The 23,406-nt window shown below is 43.3% G+C and overlaps 1 long non-coding RNA gene and 1 pseudogene across 1 annotated transcript; both read right to left on the minus strand.

Moving 5' to 3' along the window:
- Positions 7,905 to 7,998, minus strand: RNA5SP356 (RNA, 5S ribosomal pseudogene 356; annotated as a pseudogene).
- LOC105369718 (uncharacterized) lies at positions 16,969 to 22,272 on the minus strand. The gene is made up of 3 exons (XR_931482.2): positions 22,159 to 22,272; positions 21,474 to 22,028; positions 16,969 to 17,740 (listed from the first exon to the last, which is right to left on the minus strand). It is a non-coding gene; the product is annotated as an uncharacterized LOC105369718 (long non-coding RNA).
- Between the last annotated feature and the right edge of the window lie 1,134 nt (positions 22,273 to 23,406).

The raw sequence follows: 23,406 nt of genomic DNA on the forward strand, positions 1-23,406 counted from the left end.
TGCTTCAGCTCTTACCTGTGCCCCCACCCCCACACAGCCCTCTGCTAGCCACTAGGTGTTAGCTGTCTTTCACCTGCAAAAGGTCTCCCTTTGCCAATTTTTGTCACAAATTTTTGCATATTGCTTCTATACATTTGCAGATAGGATTCAGTAGGCACTGATTCCAACTATGTAAGAGAAAATGGAATGGCTGCACTTGCTGTCACAGAAGGCTTTCAGGAGAGCACATTGATTGGCTAAAGGGTCCTGGGAGAGGTACTCTAACTATGTTAGACTGAGATGCTCAGAAAGGAGCTTCCCCACAATCAAGGAAATCAGGGCTTTTCAGTGTTGACTTGAAATCCTGCCTAATAGTCAGGAAAAAGCTTTTTTCAACCATGAGGGAAGAATGAGGAGGTAAGGATGGAGAGGGGTAGAGTGCCAAACGATTCCATCCAGATTGGGGCATGGAAGGACAGTGGCGGGCCCAAGTCCAGAGCTGTTCCCTCCAAATAGTGAATGTTTGGCAACCTTACCCAGAAGTTCTGATATTTCTAGTTAGTCAGACCAGGCTCTGATTTCCAAAATAAGGCCAAATCCAGAACAGTTTGGGAAATGAAGGTATCTGGCTGAAAGACAAGAGTTGGAACCATTGCCCTACCATCAGCATCACATTAACAGAAACAAATTCCTCTGCCCATGCAAACTATCCACAAACAATTTAAGCCAAGAAAAAGTCCCAACTAGAAAAGCACGTGGATGAGCACCAACCCAATGAGGCCCATCATTTTTGAGTGGACACCCTCTGAGCAACTTGGCGAAGAAAGCAGAGCTCAACTTCCCCCCAGGAGGTTTGGGAGAACCTCTCCCGATGAACAGACATGAAGGCGGAGTTCGGTGATAGCACCTGGAAAGGTAGTAACTACTCACTGGCCACAGGGATGACTGAAATGAGACCTATGCCAGGGATAACACAAAGGATAAAAACAGTCTAAAGCAGAGATTGAGTTTATTATTTGCTGAACAAGAGGAGGGTCACATTTCATTAAGAAAGGTCAGGACAGTTCTCTGAATTGAAGGTGAACAGGACAGACACACTGTGAGAAAGAGGAAGTTTTGTCAAAATTTGTGATTGACTCGAAAACAAGAGTAAACTCTCTTGGATTGTTTGCTATTCTACTTTGTGTCACAGAAGCACAAGCACAGTTCTCCGAAAGGTCCTGGATGGATCTGATCTGTGGGGCATGGCCCTGGCAGCCTGGTGTCTGTGCCTCCTCTCATCGAGGTGAAATTTTTCTCTGGCACCCACTTTGGTTAAGAATGAGGAGCCCTGAGCCCCCATCAGCCTGCAGCATGGCTCTGTGCCTATCACCCAGCTCTCTTCTCCTCACTGCCTAGGATGGATAAAAATGCAGCTTTCCTGGCCACAGGGATGAAATAACCACATGAAAGCAGATGGGTAATTTTGTTAGCACATAACTATTAATATGCTATTTTCTAAACAGGAAAACTGAGGCACTGAGCCCCAAGCCCCAGTAAGTTGGAGGCTACATGATTAAAATGTTGCTGAATAGGGAGAAAAAGGCAAATTGTAAAGAGCTAACCAAAAACTAATAGGGTCTAAATCTGGGTGGTGCGATTGCAGGTGGTTTTTATTTTCTAGCTTTCTATATTGGTGTTCTATATTCTCCAAATTTTCTACTCTGTGTGGTTTTGAAACCTTCTTCTTTTTATTTTGATACAACAAGGATGAAGTCAAGGTCGTGGTAGTTATTGCAATGATGAGTTTAGGCCAGGCTCACACCTGTGAGTTTAGGTAGCTCACATCTGTAATCCTAACCCTCTGGGATGGTAGGAGGTAGGAGGATCACTTGAGGCCAGGAGTTTAAGACCAGCTTGGGCAACATGGTGAGACCCCACCTCTATAAAAAATTTATTAGCCAGGTGTGGTGGTGCAGGCCTGTAGTCCTGGCTACTTAGGAGACTGAGATGGGAAGATTACTTGAGCTCAAAACTTTGAAGTTGCCGTGAACTATGATTATGATGATCATACCACTGCACTCCAGCCTGGACAACAGAGCAAAACCCTGTCTCCAAAAAGAAGAAAAAATATTACATAAGGGTGTGAGGTCAAAAAGTTTCACTACTGATACAGACAATAGGGCACAAAGAGCTCAAAACTAAATAATGCGTTTAACAACCCTGCACATTAGCCACTATAAAAGTAAGAAAAGATCACGCAGGTGTGCCCAAGGACATGTAGTTTTCTTCTCAAGAAAGGAAAGTACCTAGAATAAGATAATGTAAAAGAGTCAGTGCAGGGGTAACCAACGCGCATATATATATGTATATATGTCTTTTTTTTTTTTTTTTGAGACAGAGTCTCACTCTGTCGCCCAGACTGGAGTGCAGTGGCACGATCTCGGCTCACTGCAACCTCCGCTTCCTGGGTTCAAGTGATTCTCCTGCCTCAGCTGGGATTACAGGCGCATGCCACCACACCTGGCTAATTTTTTCTTTTTCTTTTTCTTTTTTTTTTTTGTATTTTTAGTAGAGACGGGGTTTCACCATGTTGGCCAGGATGGTCTCGATCTCCTGACCTTGAGTTCCACCCACCTCGGCCACCCAAAGTGCTGGGATTGCAGGCGTGAGCCACCGCGCCTGGCCTAACAACTCCAATTTAAGCATCAGTGTCGTGTCAGACTTTGTGATGGCTGGGAGGAATGTAGCCATGTCTGAAATTCACTATTCCCAAAAAGCTTACTTTCTAGGAGAGACACAACTGAATTTTTGGTTGAAATGCAGTTAGGAAGAAGGGAGATACATGCACGGAATATAACAGGTCAGCGGGGAGGGGCCTTGGATGAGGGGTGGAATGAGGAAAGGGGAGAAGGGGGACTTCCTGAAAAGATATGTCTGTGCTGAGTCTTAGAGGATGAGTGGGAATTTGGCTGCTGAGTGGGAGAGGCACTGCAGGAGGAGGGAGTGCTCCAACACTGGGAGCAGCATGAGCCCAGGCCCAGAGGTATGAATCAGCATGGTGTATTTGGAGAAGGTATGAAAAGGGAGTACAGAAAATGAAAAACAGACTAGAGTGGTCCCCCAACAAAATAAATGTAATGCCCCCAATAAAATTACAAGTTTTACAAACCAAGACTTAGCAGCTCTGATAACAAATATCTACTCTATTTTAGAAGAGAATAAACTGGTCCATAATTCAGGTGTATGGAAACAAAGTGTCTGTTTTGGAAAACAAAAATGAGACTCTGCTCTCATATCTTGATACGAAGTGAAATGCTCTGGTCACCCCTTTGCCTTCCGAGTGCTTTCTTGTCTCTGGCTCCCAAGGGCTGCCCAGAGTGGCCATAGTGGCCCCTGGGGGCCAACGAAAGAGGAAACTCCACCCTGTCAGGGCCCATCAGCAAGAATCCCAGGACTTCACCCCACGTGGTTCAGAAAGGGGTTGTGTGGCTAGGTCATGCCATGCATGTGAAATTGTTTTTTTCACCAAAGGAGCTAGTCAGGATGGCTGAATGTTTATTTCAGAAGCAGCGGATCAATGCCATTCTAAAAGTTAAATCAAGGTTAGCCTAAAGCTGCCTCCTTACATATTTAAGTTTGGCCTAAAGGTTTTTCTGTACATTGGAAACCATAACAAGTGGAAGTGTAAACCGACTGCAGCCCACATCTGTGCCAATCACTGTATTTTGGCCAATCAAATGTAGCCAACTGTTCAAATCATGTTCAAATAAGGCAAATGCCAAGCTGTGACCAATCCAATGTTTCTTACCTCACTTCTGTTTTCTGTACGTCACTTTCCTTTTGCCGTCCATAAATCATCTTCCACCACGTGGCTGTGCTGAAGTCTCTGAATCTGCTATGATTCTAGGGGCTGCCCAATTCACAAATTGTTCATTGCTCAATTAAACCCCTTTGAATTTAATCTGGCTGAATTTTTTTTTAACAAAAGCTAGTATTCTGTTTTAAATCACACAGAGGAAGGGGGATACCCTGCTAGTTACATCAAATAAAAGAGGAGAGAAAGGGAACATTTTCTGATAGTAATTCATGGCCGACCTATCCCCATGAACAGCCTTCATCAAAGGTTGAACTGACCCAAAAGATGCTCTGGCATTTACCCAGGTGTCCCTGGGGGGAATCTGGCCTTTCCAACAGGCACTGGTAGGTGGCAGAAGAAGCCTCCTTGACACACAGCTGGGACTCTGCTTCCAGTAGAAACCTGACTGAAACCCCTGGAATTAAAGAGGGTTAGACAATTCTGCAGACTGTGGACTAGGGTCCCAGAACCTCTCAAGGGCCAGGGCAGGCTGGCGGCAACCTGGGCAGGTGTCTGCCCAGAACAGCAGACAGCTGAGGCAGTGCAGCCAGAGTGAGACTCTGCCGGCAGTCAGGCTTGGGGGCTGAGGCAGTGCAGGAAGAGAGCCAGCTCACACTGTCCTGCAGATGGGGGAGATTCGGCAAGCAGGGAAGAAAACTATCAAGAGAAGCAAGAAGCCCCAGGAGAAGGTTGAGATGGGCCTCTCAGAGCAGAGTAGGGACTATCAGTAAAGAAGTAAGGATCTGAATGCAGAGAGAGGAAATTAGCCTGTCCTTACAAGCTAAATGGTTCAGGGACCGGCAACCTAACATAAATGATCTCACTTCTATCAATGGAACAGAATAAATAACTCAGAAATAAAGTTACATACATACAACCAACTGATCTTCAACAAAGATGACAAAAATATACACTGGGGAAAGGACTCCCTATTCAATTAACAGTGCTGGGAAAATTGGATAACCATAGGCAGAAGAGCGAAACTGGATCCCTGTCTCTCACCATATACAACAATTAACTGAAGATGGATTGAACACTTACATGTAAAACTTGAAATTATAAAATTTCTAGAAGAAAAGCTGGGGAAAACTCTACTGAACATTGGTTTAGACAAATAATTTATGACTAAGACCCCAAAAGCAAACACAACAAAAACAAAAATCGACAAATGCGATTTCATTAAACCAAAAAGTTTCTGCACAGCAAAAGAAATCAACAGAGTAAACAACTTGCAGAATGAGAGACAATATTTGCAAGCTATGCATCTGACAAGGGACTGATATCCAGAATCTATAAAAAATTTAAACAACTCAATGAGAAAAAAAAACCCGTCAAAAAGAAGACAAAGGATATAAAGAGACACACTTCACAAGAATACATACAAGTGGCCAAAAAACATATGAAAAAATGCTCAACACTACCAATTATCAGAGAAATGCAAACTAAATTCACAGTGAAATATCATCTTACAGCACTCCAGTTGGGAGCTAAACAATGGTACACAGGGACATACAGAGTATGTCACCTGCACCAAGTGTCCTTCTCCCTGGCCCCCTACCCTTAGAAGTCTGCAGGCCAAAATTGTACAAAAAGCAAGATGACAGAGTCAGAGGGAGATAATGCCAGGTTTAGAGGCATGAAGGCCAGGGCAGCACTGCATGCAGGACAGGGGCATTTACTAAGCATCTGGAAATACAACTTTTCTTGATCCAGAACAGCTGGAAAAAAAGCCCCATAGCACATTTGTTTAAAAAAAAAAAAAGGAAATTAACCCAAATCCTTCCCTGGGTTCCAGTCTAAAAGGAAATAGGACAACGAACCTTTCATCACTGGCCATTTCTATACATGCACAGAAATGCTTGAAGACTTTTAGATTGCCTTTTACATAATATGTGGAAAGCATAACAGGGAGATGTGATAGAATTGTGGGAGGACCCTTAGATTGGGTGTAAAGAGATGATGTTTACGTGGAACTCAGACAATTAAAAGAAATCCTTTGTCTTTGGTGGCATGCATTGCAGGTGAGAAAGCTAATGCAGGTATCTAAGGTAGGAACAAACTTGAGGGACAGACACCATATCTGAAGTTGGCAACCATGTCTGAAGCATCCAGTGGGGAAGGTGACAGAAGCAAGAGCAGGTGCTGATGAGGTTGGCAGGACTCAAGCCCTGCGCAACCACAAGGGAGAGGGGTCTGGATTCCATTGCAAATCTGATGGACAGCCCTTGGTTAAGTTTTAACCAGGAGGGTGATGTGATCAACTTGCATTAAAAAAGATAACTCCAGATGGTCTATGGAAAACACCCAAAGGGGAAGAGAGTACAAACATGAAGGCCAAGCAAGAGGCTTCTGTAGTACTCCAGGCAGGAAATGATGGTAGCTTTGACCAGGCTGGAAACAGTGGAGAGGTAGGGAACTGCATCCATTTGGGAAATGCTTCAGAGGTCATCTTGACAAGACATTACAGTGGATTGGATGTGAGTTAGGCAGGAGAAGGGAATTGAAGATGGACCTCTAGGGTTTTGGGCTGAGCAACTCTGGATGGATGGTGGGGCCATTTAGTTAGATGAAGAAGAGAGGCAAAGCTGGTTTGGGGTGGAGGAGTGAATCATTCAGAACTCTGTTTTTGAACATGGTGAATTTGGGTATTAATCGCTTATAAAAAGTAATGCTATCATAGAATCCATAACACTTCCCAGGAACTGTGGCTTTTTCACTGGGGTTTTGAGCTCCACTGGGAAAACCACATGCAGCACCCACAGTGTTAGATGTTGTCCTCAAGGTCAGCAAAGAATGGCTTTGTCCTTGGGTCACTCACTCATTCATCCCTCCCTTAGACACACACGTATGTTCCAGAAGGAAAGTCTGCATGTCCTTCAATCTTTATAATAATCAACTGGTAGAGGCCTTTATGACCTGTAAAGTTCCAGACAGATTCAGAATCTGTCATTTTACTGTTTAAAAATTATCTTTCTTCGTAGATGTAGACACAGAGAAGTACAAATAAGGCCACAGTATGGCCTCTAATCCCCTAGTTCAGGAAATGCAAATGCTGGCCTCAGCCAGCCTCCCCAGCCCCACACCCCCTCCAGGCCCAGCCCCGGTGTCCCATTAACCTTGCAGCCTAGGTAGGAATTTTCTATCCTGTCCCTGGAGACAAGGTGGCTGCACCGGGAAGGGCTGGGTTTTTCACATGGTGGGGGTGACAGGCTGGTAGGGGGAGAGGGATTGAACAGGAGCCCAGGCCAGAGCTAAGAACTGATCTAAGAATTGCATGGTGGAGAAAGGGCAGCGATCAATCCCATTTTTTTTAACAAGGCAACTGGCATGCAGGAATAATCAGCTATCTCCTCTCCTGATTCTGGGGCTGGAATCATTTTACTGAAGGCCTGGTGGTGTCACATGAGGGATGAGAAAGGAGGAGGTTTGGTTGCCTGGAATTGGGGTGGACAAAAGTATGCCAAAAATCATCTGCTGAAAACTTAGAGCTGGTTCCCTTTTCCTTTTGAATGTCAAATAAGCAGAAGAGAAATCAGATTACGTGTGTGCCCTCCTCATTTCCCTAGGGATAAGGTGTGGGTTTTCAGTCTTTGGATGTTTCTTACTAGACTGAGCTAGAGTGAGCTGTGCCCATTGGGAAGACAGGGTGGGATTCTTGCCTGGGCTTTCAGTGTGAGGGATCACAGCCCAGGTCTGTTCAACTCTGCTTCCCTCCTCCCAGGTATTGTGGGCCTTGTGTCAGATGTTGTCAGGATTCCTGTGCCAGGAGGCAGTCCAGGAGCTCTACCTACAGCTGCTGCTGGCTGTGCTGTGTCATCACTGCTGGGCGATTTAGCAAAATGCTCCCCAGAAGATGGTAGAACACAGCAAGGAGGGGCCCCTGGGAAGCAAAAGCAACTCTGACCCCATTAGGTAAGCCTAACCACCAGGGAATAGAGAAAGGAAATGAGGCAATTTCCTGAGGGCCCTGGACAACCAGATGTGGGTCCCTCAGGGAGGCAAGGAAGAGAAGAGTGGACTATAGCATGGGTGCTGCAGCATCGTACACTGGAGTACTCTCGCAGGTGTTCCAATTTCATGAATCCCATTACTCTCCCATCCAAGGACTAACCAGGCCTGACTCTGCTTAGCTTCCAAGATCAGATGAGACCCGGCACGTTCAGGGTGATATGGGCAGTGGACCAATTTCATGAATCCTTGTATTACATGCACTCTTCTACTGACCCACACAATGGTTTTTATCCATGTTCATAACTCTACACATAAGAGATTCGATTAGACGGGGGCAAGGCTGTGTCATTTTCTCCATGCAGTTTTGGGCATTTGAGTCAACCTTGATGGCCTCTGGCTTAGTTTTGCCATTAGCTGCATCTTCTTATATGAGTTACTGTTAGAATTCTGTTTCCTTATCTGTAAAATGGGAGTCCTAAATAAGTGGTTATCACTCCTTCTTTAAAATTCAGAACATTCGGGCCAGGCGCGGTGGCTCACGCCTGTAATCCCAGCACTTTGGTAGGCAGGAGGAACACTTGAGGTCGGAAGTTCCAAGACCAGCCTGACCAACATGGAGAAACCCCGTCGCTACTAAAAATACAAAAAAATTAAGCAGGCATGGTGGTGCATGCCTGTAATCCTAGCTACTTGGGAAGGCTGAAGCAAAAGAATCACTTGAACCCAGAAGGCAGAGGTTGCAGTGAGCCAAGATTGCACCATTGCACTTCAGCCTGGGCAACAAGAGTGAAACTCTGTCTCAAAAAAAAAAAAAAAATTAAGAACATTCAATTTAAACAAAACCTTGTATAAAAATGAAAACAAATGGAACCAATAAATCAGAGACATTCTGATTAGGTGGTTGTGGAAGTGAAGAGAGATTCCAACCCTTTTTCTGTCCCCCAGAGAGAAGAATTTGAAAACCACAGCACTAGGATATCTCCATTGCCCCTTTTAGCCCACTCAGTGGCTGGAAGAGGGGCGGGGTGAAAGGATGAGTGGATGGGTAATTGAAGATGGGTCCCGTAGAGCCATGACTTTCTATCAGCAGGACAGCAGAACCCAATCATGAAAGGGCTGAGAACTGTCTCCTAGCTTGCCAGCAGAAGGGTGCAAACCAGGGCATAACATCTGGTCCATCTTTTTGTCCTTTTCACAAACCCAATAGAGGTGGCCTTCAGTTGTGCCCTGGAAGTAGTGAAGATGGTGCTACTGGCAGCTTTGTATGATAAAGTGATGTTCTATGCAACTCAACATCACTGCTGGGAACTTCCATCCATTGCTTCAGCCCAGAAAGGTGGGACATCATGAATTTGGGGAATCTGGTTTTCTAGGTCATAGGCAGATTCCAAGATTTCCTGATTGGCAGTTGGTTGAAAGAGTTAAGCTTTGCCTAAAGAGTTGAAGGCAACAGAAAGAAATGTTTGAGTTAAGATAAAAAGGGTTGTGGAAGCCAAGGTTCTTGTTATTTAGATGAAGCCTCTAATTAACAGGCTTCAGAGAGAATAGATCTTGTCTCTTGTCAACTTTAAGTGGTGTCAGACTGTCTGGTAAAGAACTAGTAAAGGAAGGAGATTTTATAAAGAATGCAAATTTCCACCACAAGAGATGGCTTTACAGGGTCATTTCAAAATATGCCAAAGAAAGTATATTTGGGGGTAAAATACTTGATTTTTTCAGGGCCTGCTATCTGTCATGTGATGCTATACCAGAGTCATGTTGGAGCTGGGTATCTTATTGCTACATAGAGTCTATTTTGTCAGTCTTATTATCTCTATTTTAATGTTAATGCAAGTCAGTTGTGCCTAAACTCCAACAAGAAGAGGGTATAACGAGTCATGACAAACCCACACTTCCTGTCATAGCCTGAACTGGTTTCTCAGGTTTCTTTGGGATCCCTTTGGCCAAGAGGGGAGTCCATTCATTGGTTGGAAGGCTTAGAGTTTTATTTGGTTTACAGAGACCAGCCTGGACAATGTAGCAACTAACTGTCTCTACAAAATATATAGATTAAAAAATTAGCCAGGCGTTACGGTGAAACAGCAGGGATGGGACTGGGCTCCACTCCTACTATTTTTGTATTTAGTATTTTGGTATTTAGTGAGTATTTTTCCACACATACTCACTAACCACCAGACCTGGCACTACCCCATTGTCACCATACCTGCTGATCACAAGACCTTAAAAACTATGTGAGAAAACTAAGATAAGAAGCATTGCACCATAAATCTTACTCAAGGGAATTAACCCTATTGCCCTCATGTATATAAGTCCAGGAAAATGATAGATCTTAATCTCTTGCCTCATTATAATAAAATCCTCACCCTAGGAGGGGCTTTTCTGCCATTATTCGATCTTGTGATGTACATACTAACATGACTTCCCACTGCATCTGTGCACCCTGCACTCTGCCCTGCAAATGTAATGATGCTCACATACCTCATGTTTATTCCTGTCACCCTTCCTAAAACACCACGAAGACCTGTCCTCAGAGAGCCAGCCAGAGAACTCTTGCTCTTATGCTGTCTCCCTTGTGCTTGAGCATAAGTCTTAATAAAGCCTTGTCTGGGAAACTTTCTGAGCCTCATATCAATTTTTATTGCATACAAGCCTAAGAAACAGTGGTTGATTAACAGTAGTGCAGGCCTGGAACTACAGTGACTCTAGACACTGAGGTGGGAGGATCACTTGAGCCCAGGAATTTAAAGCTACCATGAATTATAATCCCACCACTGCACTCCAGCCTGGGTGACATAATGAGACCCTGTTTCTTACAAAAAAAAAAAAAAGAAGAAGAAAAAAACTGTGATAGACTCCTGTGATTGGTGATTATGCTGTATAGAGGAATATTTTATGGGAAGAAAAAAATTGTTAACCTTATTTTTGTCAAAATAAATTCTGCCTATATTAGGTATTTAAAAAATATATACTACCAGAATAGGTACCAAAATATCAGTGTTGTCTCTGGCAGTGAATGATTTTTCTTCCTTTTCTTAAAAAAATAATTTGTATTTTAAATATTTCATACAATGAAACAAGTATTACTTTTATAGTGTCAAAAATTGTTCTAAATGGAATTCTACAATAATGACCTGATATGTGGGGTGTTAAAGAATGGGGTTGGGTAGTCAGTCTTTAGGGGGCTGCAGTCTGAGTCGACCCTCTCCTGGTTTTAGCTCTTGAAGGTGTGAAGAATGATTCTCTAGAGCCTATCTCATGTTTGGTCAATACCATCCTGAAAAAAGGTTGACATAGATACTAGCACCTAGTTTGCCCCTACTTCCTTGCTGAGCCAAATGATCAGTAGATTCCTCAAAGCTCTGGTCTCAAAGCCCCAGAAAGAAAGAAATGCCTTTTCTTGTTTTTATTATTTTTTTTAGAGACAGGGTCTCACTTTGTTGCCCAGGCTGGAGTACAATGTCATGATCATGGCTCACTGCAGCTTTTAACAACTGGGCTCAAGAAATACTCCCACCTCAGCCCCCTGAGTAGCTAGGACTACAGGCACACCACCACATCCAGCTAATTTTTTAGTTTTTGTAGAGATGGGGTCTCACTATGTTGCCCATGCTGTTATCAAACTCCTACGCCTGGTGAGGAGGGGCCAAGATAGCCTATTAGAAGCAGCTGCAGTCCACGGCTCTCATGGAGAGGAATGAAAATAGCAAGTGAATTCAGCACCTTCAACTGAAATATCCAAGTTCTCACATTGGGACTGACTAGGCAAACAACTCAAACCACAGAGAACGAAGAAAAGCAGGGTGGGGCGACGGCCCACCCAGGAGCAGCACAGAGGCAAAGGAACCTCCATCCCAAGCCAAGGGAAGCAGTGAGTGATTGTGCAACCCCACCCAGGAAACCATGCTTCTCCCATGGATCTTTGCAACCTGTGGATCAGGAGATCCCCTCGTGAGACCATGTCACCAGGGCCTTGGGTCTGATACACAGAGTTGTGTGGATGCTCAGCAAAGCAGCTGCACAAGCACACACAGAGATCCAGGAGCTTTATATACTCCAGCCCCAGGAATCCTGGCAAGGTGGGAGATCTGTCCAGACATTCCCCTAGGAAGGGGGCTGAATCCAGGGAGCCAAGCAGTGTCATTCTGCAGGCCCTACTTCCAGGGCACCTCACAAGTTAAAACCCACTGGCTTGGAATTCCAGCCAGCCAGTGGCAACAGGCCAGAGACTACCTAAGATGGGACCAAGTTCCTGTGGGGAGGGGCAGCCGCCATATCTGTGGTTTGGTCAACTCAGCCATTACATCCTGCTGGCTCTGGAGAGTCTAGGCCGTCAAGATGAGGAAAAGTGCTGCCCAACCCCAATGCAGCACACCTGCTCTACCAAAAAGCAGCCAGACTGCTTCTTTAAGCAGGTCTCTGATCCCATTCCTCCTGACTGGGTTAGACCTCTCAATAGGGTTCTCCAGACACCTCATACAAGAGCATTTGGGCCAGCAACATGTCATACCCTCTGTGACAGAGCTTTCATAGAAAGGTGCAGGTTGCCATTTTTGCTATTTTGCAGCCTTCACTGGTGATAGCTCCAAGTACAAGAAAGGTCTGGAGCAAACCCCCAGAAAACCACAGCAGCCCTAAGGAAGAGTGACCTTCCTGTTAAAAGAAAAACAACAAACAGAAAACAACAACTACTACAATATCAACAAAAGGATCCTACAAAAACCCTATTCAAAGGTCAGCAACCTGAAAGATCAAAGGTAGATAAGCTCACAAAGATGAGAAAGAATCAACACAAAAACCCTGAAAACTCACTGAAAGAGCCAGAGTGCTAGTTCTCCTCCAAATAACTGCAACACCTCTCCAGCAAGAGCATAGAGTTGGTCTGAGGCTGAGATGGCTGAATTGACAGAAGTAGGCTTCAGAAGGTGAGTAATAACGAACTTCAATGAGCTAAAGAAGCATGTTGTAACCCAATGCAAAGAAGCTAAGAATCATGATAAAACAATACCGGATCTGATAACCAGAATAGCCAGTTTAGACAGGAATATAACCCACCTGATGGAGCTGACAAAACACAACTAGAGATCTTCAAGTGTAATCACAAGTATCAATAGCAGAATAGACAAAGCAGAGGAAAGAATATCAGAGCTTAAAGACTATCTATCTAAAATAAGCCAGGCAGACAGGATAGAGAAAAAAGAATAAAAAGAAATGAACAAAATCTCCAAGAACTATGGTATTATGTAAAAAGACCCAATCTGTGACTGATTAGGGTATATGAAAGAGATGTGGGGTGGGAAATGGAACCAAATTGGAAAACATACTTCAGGATGTGATCCAAGAGAACTTACTCAGCTAGCAAGACAGGTCAACATTCAAATTCAGGGAATCCAGAGAACTCCAGTAAGATACTTCATGAAAATCAACCCCAAGACACATAATCATCAGATTCTCCAAGATGAAAATGAAAGAAAAAATGTTCAGGACAGCCAGAGAGAAGGGCCAGGTCACCTACAAAGGGAAGCCCAACAGACTAACAATGGACCTTTCAGCAGAAACCCTACAAGCCAGAAGAAATTGGAAGCCAATAGTCAACATTCTTAAATAATTTCCAACCCAGAATATTATATCTGACCAAACTAAGCTTCATAAGTGAAGGAGAAATAAGATGCTTTTCAGACAAGAAAATGCTGAAGGAATTTGTCACCACCAGGCCTGTCTGGCAAGAACTCCTGAAAGAAGCACTAAATATAGAAAGGAAAAACCATTACCAGCCACTAAAGAAACACACTGAATTACACAGGCCAGTGACACTATGAAGCAACCACATAAACAAGTCTGCAAAATAACCAGCTAGCATCATGATGACACGATCAAATTCACACATGACAATAGTAACCTTAAATGTAAATGGACTAAATGCCCCCAAATAAAAGACATAGAATAGCAAGCTGGATAGAGCCAAGACTGATTGGTATGCTGCTCTCAAGAGACCCATCTCACATGCAAAGAGACACATAGGCTCAAAATAAAAAGGTGAAGGAAAATTTATTCAAACAAATGGAAAACAGAAAAAAACAGAGGTCACAATCCTATTTTCTGACAAAACAGATTTAAAACCAACAAAGATCAAAAAAGTCAAAGAAGGGCATTACATAATGGTAAATGGTTCAATTCAACAAGAAGAGCAAACTATCCTAAATATAAATGTACCCAACACAGGAACACCCAGATTCATAAAGCAAGTTCTTAGAGATCTACAAAGAGGGTTAGACTCCCACACAACAATAGTAGGAGACATTAATATCCCATTTACAAAATTAGATCATCAAGACAGAAAATTAACAATGATATTCAGGACCTGAACTCAGCTCTGGATCAAGTGGACATGATATATATCTACAGAACTCTCCACCCAAAAACAACAGAATATACATTCTTCTCAGTACCACATGGCACTTACTCTAAAATTGATCACATAATCGGAAGTAAAACACTCCTCAGGAAATTCAAAAGAGCTAAAATCATAACAAACAGTCTCTCAGACTACAGCACAATCAAGATTAAGAAATTCAATCAAAACCACATAACTACATGGAAATTGAACAACCTGCTCATGAATGACTCCTGGGTAAATCATGAAATTAAGACAGAAATCAAGAAGTTCTTTGAAACTAGTGAGAACAAAGAGATAGCATACCAGGATTTCTGGGGCACAGCTAGGGCAATGTTGAGAAATTTATAACACTAAATGCCCACATCAAAAAGCTAGAAATATCTCAAGTTAACATACTAACATTATAACTAAAAGAATTAGAGAACCAAGAGCAAACAAACCCCAAGGCTAGCAGAAGACAAGAAATAGTCAATGTCAGAGCAGAACTGAAGGAGATGAAGACACAAAAAAACCCTTCAAAAAAATCAGCAAATCCAGGAGCTGTTTTTTTGGGAAAAAAAAAATAGATACATTGCTTGCTAGACTAATAAAGAAGAAAAGAAAGAAGAATCAAAGAAACACAATCAGAAATGATAAGGGGGATATCACCACCAACCCCACAGAAATACAAACAACCATTAGAGAATACTATAAACACCTCTATGCACATAAACTAGAAAATCTAGAAAAATTGATAAATTCCTGGACACATATACCCTGCCAAGACTGAACCAGGAAGAAATTGAATCCCTGCATAGACCAATAACATGTTCTGAAATTGAGGCAGTAAAAAATAACCTACCAACTACAAAAATCCCAGGACCAGATAAATTTATAGCTGAATTCTACCACAGGTACAAAGAAGAGCTAGTACCATTTCTACTGAAACTAGTCCAAAACATTGAAAAGGAGGGATTCCTCCCTAACTCATTTTATGAGGACAGCATCATCCTGATAACAAACGCTGGCAGAGATACAACAAATAAAACTTCAGGCCAATATCCCCGATGAATATCGATGCAAAAATCCTCAATAAAATACTGGCAAACCGAGTCCAGCAGCACATCAAAAAGCTTATCCACCATGATCAACTTGGTTTTCTTCCCATGGTTGGCTCAACGTACCCAAATCAGTAAGTGTGATTCATCACATGAAACAGAACTAAAGACAAAACCACACAGCTATTTCAATAGGTGAAGGAAAGGCCTTTGATAAAGTTCAACATCGCTTCATGTTAAAAACTCTCAATAAACTAGGTATTGAAAGAACATACCTCAAAATAATAAGAGCCATATATGACACACCTACAGTTAATATTATACAGAATGGGCAAAACCTGGAAGCATTCCCCTTGAAAACTGGCACAACACAGGGATCCCTTCTCTCACCACTCCTATTCAACATAGTATTGAAGTTCTGGCCAGGGCAATCGGGCAAAAGAAAGAAAGAAAGGGTATTCATATAGGAAGGGAGGAAGTCAAATTATCTTTGTTTGCAGATGACATGACCTTATATCTAGAAAACCCAATCATCTCAGCCCAAAACCTTCTTGAACTGATAAGCAACTTTAGCAAAGTCTCAGGATACAAAATCAATGTGCAAAAACCACTAGCATTCCTATACACCAGTAATAGGCAAATAGAGAGCCAAATCATGAACTAATTCCCATTCACAACTGCTACAAAGAGAATAAAATACAGCTAACAAGGGATGTGAAGGACCACTTCAAGGAGAACTACAAACCACTGCTCAAAGAAATCAGAGAGGACACAAACAAATGAAAAACTATTTCATGCCCACGGATAGGAAGAATTAATATTGTGAAAATGCCATACTTTCAAGGAGCCCTTGAAATCACTGGGTTGGTTTTCTAGGGCTCCTGTAATAACATGCCACAAATGGCTAGCTTAATACAACAGAAATTTATTTTCTCACAGATGTGAACTCTGGAAGTACAAAGTCCAGATGTTAGCAGGATTAGTTTCTACTGGAGGCTTTGAGAGAGATTCTGTTCCATGGCTCTCTCCTGGATCCTGGTGGTTCTTGGCAACCCTTGGTGTCCCTTACCTTGTAGATACACCACTCCAATCTCTGCCTCCACTTTTACATGACACATTCTTCCGTGTGTGTGTGTGTGTGTGTGTGTGTGTGTTTGTGTTTTCTTAAGAACAGCAAATATTGGATTTGGGAGGGCCCACTCTAATCCACTATGAACTTCCCTTAGTTTGGTTACATCTACAAAGACCCTGTTTGCAAACAAGGTCACATTCGAGGTTCTGAGTGGACATGAATTTGTCAACTCGTTGGGAATGGACCAGTCCGAGGGCAAGATAAGATGTGGAACTAAGCAGGAAGGTTGAGTGCAGAGTTTTGAGGAAAGTGTAGTCAGGGCGAAGATCTAAGCAACATTGTTCTACTCCTTTGGAGGAGAAATTTTTCCTTCTTTTAGCTTCCTTCAGCCACTGCTGTGACCACCTCATCCCAATTCCTCTCTGCTCCTTCATAGTCCTTAAAGGTTAGAAGTATGGGCTCTGCACTTCTGTGTCCTGCATTTCTAGATCCTGGTTCTCTGGTTGGCCATGTGCCCTCAGAGACTTATTTCCCTCTACTTCAGTTTTCTCTGGGAAAAAGGGATGACAACAATACCAGGTTTATACAGCCATTTTGATAACTGAGCAATGTAATGTTTATAAAGTGCTTGTCTCAAAGGAGTAAAGTATGGATTCAGGTAACTTGCCTATTTTTGAGTTGTCTTTTTATTGATTTGACTTACTTTATGCTAATGTCAAGTGATACTTTGGCCTTCTCTTTAATTTCTATATTTTATTTACCCCACTGCCTCTTACAGATGGTACAATGGGTAGAAAGTCCAGATTGTGTCCAGAAACGCAGCCAATCCTGTATATTGAGGAGGGTGAATTGAGTTCCTTGATTGGGTCAGTAGTTGTAGTTTCCCACATGCCAGGACATGGTCTCTAGCAATGCCCCACAATGGTAGCTGCAGCATTCACTCAAACAAGATGGTGATGTCATGACATGAAATGGTCTTTCCTGGCTGTGGTCTAGTGTTTGCAACTGGTATCATCTGGTTCTGGCATTTGTTGCTCACACTAACGTATCAATGATAGGCCTATATATCATCCTTTGGTCAAGTGAAGGCCCAGTTGATTCCTGGTCTCATTGGATGGTACATTACAGGGCATGGCACTACATCCAGGACATGCTCAGAGTGGCTTACTACCCTTCAATCTTAGTAAAGTCAAACCCTCTGAGCCTCAGTTTCTTCATCTATAAATGGGGATGATATCTACCTCTTAAGACTGTGTATTAGGTTGTTCAGGCTGCCAGAACAAAATATCACAGACTAGTAGCTTAAACAACAGTTCTGAAGCCTGGAGGTCCAGGATCAAGGTCCTGTCAGGGTTGGATTCTGGTGAAGGCTCTCTTCCTGGCTTGCATATGGTTGCCTTCTTGCTATGTCTTCTCATGGCCTCTTCTCTGTGCACAGGCAGAAAAAGAGATATCTGGTGCCTCTTCCCCTGCTTGTAAGGACATCATATTGAGACCCAATAGATTAAGAGGCCCTATCAGGTTAAGGGCCAATACTTATGACCTCATTTAACCTTTATTACCTCCTTATAGGCCCTATCTCAAATAGTCATATTAGAGATTAGGGCTTCAACATGTGAATTTGAAATATATAACAGGCTGGGTGCAGTGGCTCATACCTGTAATTCCAGCACTTTGGAAGGCCAAGGTGGGTGGATCACATGAGGTCAGGAGTTCAAGACCAGCCTGACCAATATGGTGAAACTCCATAAAAATACAAAAATTAGCCGGGCATGGTGGCGCATGCCTGTAATCCCAGCTACTCAGGAGGCGGAGGTAAGACAATCACTTGAACCCAGGAGGAGGAGGTTGCAGTGAGCCGAGATCGCGCTATTGCACTCTAGCCTGGCCAATAAGAGCAAAACTCTGTCTCAAAAAACAAACAAACAAACAAAAAACAAAATACATAACACAGTATTTTGAGGACTGCGGAACATAGATCATGCTCTGAAGATGGTAGCACTTTTGATGTGGGTCATAGTGGAGGTCAAGAAGGTTGTAGCAAATCAGGCTGATGAAGGAAAATCTGAACAGACAAGAGGACAAAGGTAAAACCCCTATCTTTGGAGAAGGACTGAACGTCAACACCAGACCCCCTACTTGGCAGCATCCATGTTTTGCTGCACTTCTATTTATACTTGAATTCACTGTTTAATAATTATCTCTGGTTTTCTTTCCTTGATGCCACCTTCTCCCTCCCTTCCTACTTTCAGTCAGCCACCAGATGTGCCTTACCTGCCTTCCCCACTATCTGATTAGTTCAGACCTCCGTCTTTGATGGCTTGGATTTGAACAGTAGCTTCCTGCTTTATCCAGTCCAATCCACTCTCACACTACAGACAGGCTGATTGTGTAAAATGTAGACTAGATCCTGTCACTTTCCTACTTGAAGGGTTTCAGTGACTACCTATGATTAAGACAAACCCAAATTTGATAACAGGTTCACAGGGCCAACATTGTCTGCTCTAGCTCCTGCATTTCGCTCTGCCTGAGTGCTTGCCAACCCCACCTTTTTATCCTCTGACCCAGATGTCTCTGGGTCTCTGCCCATGCTGCTCTGCCTGCTCCTGTCTGCTCCCACACTCTTATACGTATACAACAAACACTTATTGAGATATACTCTATGCTAGTCACTGAAGATTTAGAGCTAAATGAGTACATACCATGTTTTCACATTTTTTTACCATACTTTACATAATCATTTCCTTGAAATTGCTTTTTGAGTTAAACACAAATTGAGCCAGGTGTTTGTCTTCATAGAAATTTTAGCTCTAAAGAATTTATGGTAGATTATAATATGATCTACAGTATCAAACTATAAAATGTAAAGTATCAGGAAATAAAAAGAAATATATCATGAACCTAGTCCAAGACTCACTTTTCAGAGCTCAGGTTCCAAGCCACACAATCTGGAAACCTTTTTTTGGAGGTTGGGTGGGATCTAGCCCGTGTGCTCACAGGTGCCTGTTCCCCCTCTGCTGACAGTTATTCCACTAAGCTGAAGTTGCCTGTAGTCTCCCACATTAGACACTAAGCTCTGGGAGGCAGGGCGGCTGTGTCTGCAGTCTTGTTGTATCCCCAGCACCCAGCACAGCACCTGACACATGGTAGATGTTCAATACATGTTGGCTGAATTAATTATTGTTTTAAAATCATTTTTAATATTTGTGCATGTATGTTCACAACAGGCTTATTTACAATAGCTAAAAGATGGAAACAACCCAAGAGCTCACTGATGGATGAATGGATAAACATAGTGTGCTACGGATATAAGTGAAAATTATTTAGCCTTAAAAAGGAAAGAAACTCTAGCACACACTGCAACATAGAGGAACCTTGAGGATATTATGCTAAGTGAATTAAGCCAGGCACTAAAGGAGAAACACTGTATAATTCCTTTTATATGAGCTTCCTAGACTCATCAAATTCATGGAGATAGAGAGTTAAACAATGTTTGCCAAAGGCTAAGGGGAAGAGAGAATGGGGAGCTCATGTTTAATAGGTAGAGAGTTTCAGTTTGGGAAGGTGAGAATGTTCTAGAGGCATATGGTGGTGAATGCCATAGATCTGTAAACTTAAAAATGGGTAAGATGGTAAATTGTATGTTATGTGTATTTTACCACAATAAAAATGACCACACTGAAAATCTTGCTTATGATATTCCAAGTGAAAAAAATAAAACCTCCAGGTAGTACTGTAGAGAGAGAGAAATGGATCAGTGGGGTGTCTCCTGGTGACTGTGATCAAGATTCAGGAACCCGTGGTGGGCAGATCAGGTAAAGGCTCCCGCCTTAGGCTCATTGCCTCTGGACAGCCTCAGGTAACCCTCACACCTGCTCCAGACACTGCTGCTCATTTTTTAGTTTATTTCAATTGAGCTATTTAAAATGAACACTCAGGTTTACAGAAAACTCTACCCTTAGAGTATACTCACTAGGCTGTCTGCTAAGCAGGAGTGCATTGAAATAGGTTTCTCTGTAACTTCAGGAATAAAACATCATTAAAGCACCAGCAGCAGACTGTTTCCAAAAATGACAATATCTCTGTCTCCCACCTTGCAGGATTTTTGCAAGGAGAGCTTGTCTTTCCTCCCATCAAGTGGTGGCATCTCTTTCTCTTCCCCTGAGTCTGAGATTACAGAAATGATGTTGTGTAGGCTTCCAAGGCAATGTCATGACGATGTTTATGCTCTCTAGGGGAGCCAGATGCATGTGATGAAGAAGCTTAAGGTAAAAGACTGAATGAAGAGGCAGCACATGCGGTGAGGGAGGCCATGTGGGAGGCTGAACACTTGCTGTGTGAATGGCCTTCCAGTTCAGCCCAGCTGCCGTCCACCATGATTTCATGAGACACCCAGCCTGATGCCACGTGGGACAGAGCAGGCCAACCAGGTCCTGCCCAGACCCAGAGAATCATTGGGTCATAATAATCATTGTTGTTCTAAGTCATAAGGTTTTGAAATGGCTTGATTTGCAGCAATATATAACCAAAACCATATCTTCTGCCAAATTAAGCATGAAGAGTGTAGAATTGTATTATAGAGAGCTCTAGTGCAGTGCCCCCTCCAGTTTATATTCACTGTAATACTATTAAATAAAAAGGGAAGAAATCCACCTACAGCTCCCTCATCCCAATGATTCACTTATTTTCCTTTTTTCGTTTCTAGCCTGTGGTGGTGGGCATACATAGATAAGCAACGCTGTGGTTATCAAGTACATAGCATTTTGTAGCTTTTCCTCTCAGCTTTATAGCATTCATTTGCACGCTCAACAAACACTTATTGAGATCTACTCTATGCTAGTCACTGAGGATTTAGAGCTAAATGAGTACATACCATGTTTTCACATTTTTTTTTACCATACTTTACATAATCATTTCCTTGAAATTGCTTTTTGAGTTAAACACAAATTGAGCCAGGTGTTTGTCTTTGTAGAAATTTTAACTCTAAAGAATTTATGGTAGATTATAATATGATCTATAGTATCAAACCGTAAAATGTAAAGTATCAGGAAATAAAAAGAAATATATTATTAACCTAGTCCAATAGAATTACTCTAAATATGAAGCACTGAGATTTCAGCCAAGACAAACATACAGTGAATTATTCTCATTGCTTGATTAAAGCAAGCACATCATTCTCCTAATTGAAATGAAGATTCTGACCTCACCAAATGGGAGGAGTGGAAGGTGACTCCAAGGTGGGGAGGTGGAGGCAGCGCGTGTGGGCAGGTGTCTGCTCTTCAAAGGGCTTGACTGTGAAGAGGACAGAGTGTGTTGTGGATAGGGACGGTCAGAAAGGAGGCACTGTTCGGATGCTGATGGCAAGGTCCCGTTAGAGAGGCAGTGACAGGATTCAGGGAGCAGAGGGGCTAAGCAGTGGGGCAGGGTCTCTGAGACGGCATGGGGATGGGATCGGGAACTCACAAGGGAAGACTGGCCTCCCCCCATGCGAAGGGTCGCTGCCCTTCTGCCTTGTGACAAGAGGGAAGAAAGATAAACACAGATGAAAATAGGTTAGTGGATTTGGAAGGAAAACGAAGGTGTTTCCTGGCTGACAATGTCTATTTTTTTCCATTTAAAGTAGGAGATGAAGGGGAGTGCGGGACAGAGCAGTTGGAGGTTTGAAAGGGATAGAAAATGTTCCCAAGCTCCTTTTGTTGGATCTGCTGATGATCTATGCCGAGTTCAGACGGTTGGAAATCTGAATTCTGGAGCGGACTGAAAGAAAAGATAGATTGGGCCATGAGTATCCCCAGGGCCTTGGCCCAATCTTCAGAGCAGGCTCCTGAACCCCAGGAAAAGCTGCCATCTAAACTGCTGTAGACTTGGGCTGCAGGTTCTCCAGCACCTGCTTTTCTGAGACTGGTGATTCATGAAGACCCTGGAGACAGGCAGAGGGCACAGCCAATGGCACCGCTCCAGAAGAGTCTGAGGGATGGAGAGGCAGTGGGCGGGACGAAGATTTCCGTTGTGCGTTTCCATTGGGCGCGAGGCCTCATGGGATGGGAGGGAACCTGCGAAGCTCAGAACCGCGGCAGTGGGCCGGAGACTCAGCGGGCCAGGCAAGATCCAGTCCCAGAGAAAAGGGACAGTAGGGCCGTGTGGTGTCCAAAGGTGGACAGCCTTCATCAGAGGCTGAAACCTAGAGGGAGGAAGAACCACATCGTGGGAACACAAGGAGGGATATGGAGCTGAGAGCAGTGATGGGTCTAAACTTGAGCAGACTTCTTGGCAGCCATTCTCCCTATCTGACTCCAAATTTTCCGGCTTTCCTTCCCTCCTAGGTGCTGTCACAGTTCTTCTGGTCTGAGTGTGTGACTCTCCTGAGAGTCGGAGGAGATGGCTGCAGGAGCAGTGGCTGGACCCATCCCTGTGCTGTGCTTGGGCGTTGACAAATCTGCTGCTACTTTAGTCGGTAGCAGTGGTTTGGCAGTGATTTGCCTTAATTGCCATATGCGGGGCAGTGGTGCATGTGGTCAGCATCCCCCAACTCACATCCATGAAGATTTCTGGTGCCATGGCAACATCCCCTACTGCTTTGAACGTGAAGACCTTCAGCCATTTTCGATTCACCCCAAATCTGAAGATCTTTAGCCATGTCTGGTCCAACTCCCTTGTGTTTGCAAGTCCAAACAACAGGTCTCAGCAGGGAGCCCCAAAGAGTGGTAGACCTGGTAGACCTGGGCTGGCTGCAGCATACCTCAAGATAGATGGGTCAGTTCTGGGAGTAAGGCAGGATTCTAAGTACAGTGAAATTTAGTGGTTTGTTTCCACTGAACCTCATCCTCTCCTAGTGGGACTGGCCACACCATCCTCTTCCCATTGGGACTCATCCAGATTTATTTAGTCCTCGCTGGAGACTCAAGTGAGGTGTTAAGACTGAGCCCACACCTAGGAGCTTGGGGAATCCCACAGGGCAGAACCAAGGTAAACCTACCCGGCAAGTCTAGCAAAGAATTTTCCTTTCGAGAAGAATTATCTTCTCTATATTTAGGATTAGTGCTGGAGAAGCCAGAGTACAATTAAATAAATCTCAAGCTCTTAGTTCTAAGATTCTGAAAACTCTTCCAGATTTGAAGATACTGAAGGAAAGCTG

The sequence above is a fragment of the Homo sapiens genome, chromosome 12, assembly GCF_000001405.40.
Source record: "Homo sapiens chromosome 12, GRCh38.p14 Primary Assembly".
NCBI lineage: Eukaryota > Metazoa > Chordata > Mammalia > Primates > Hominidae > Homo > Homo sapiens.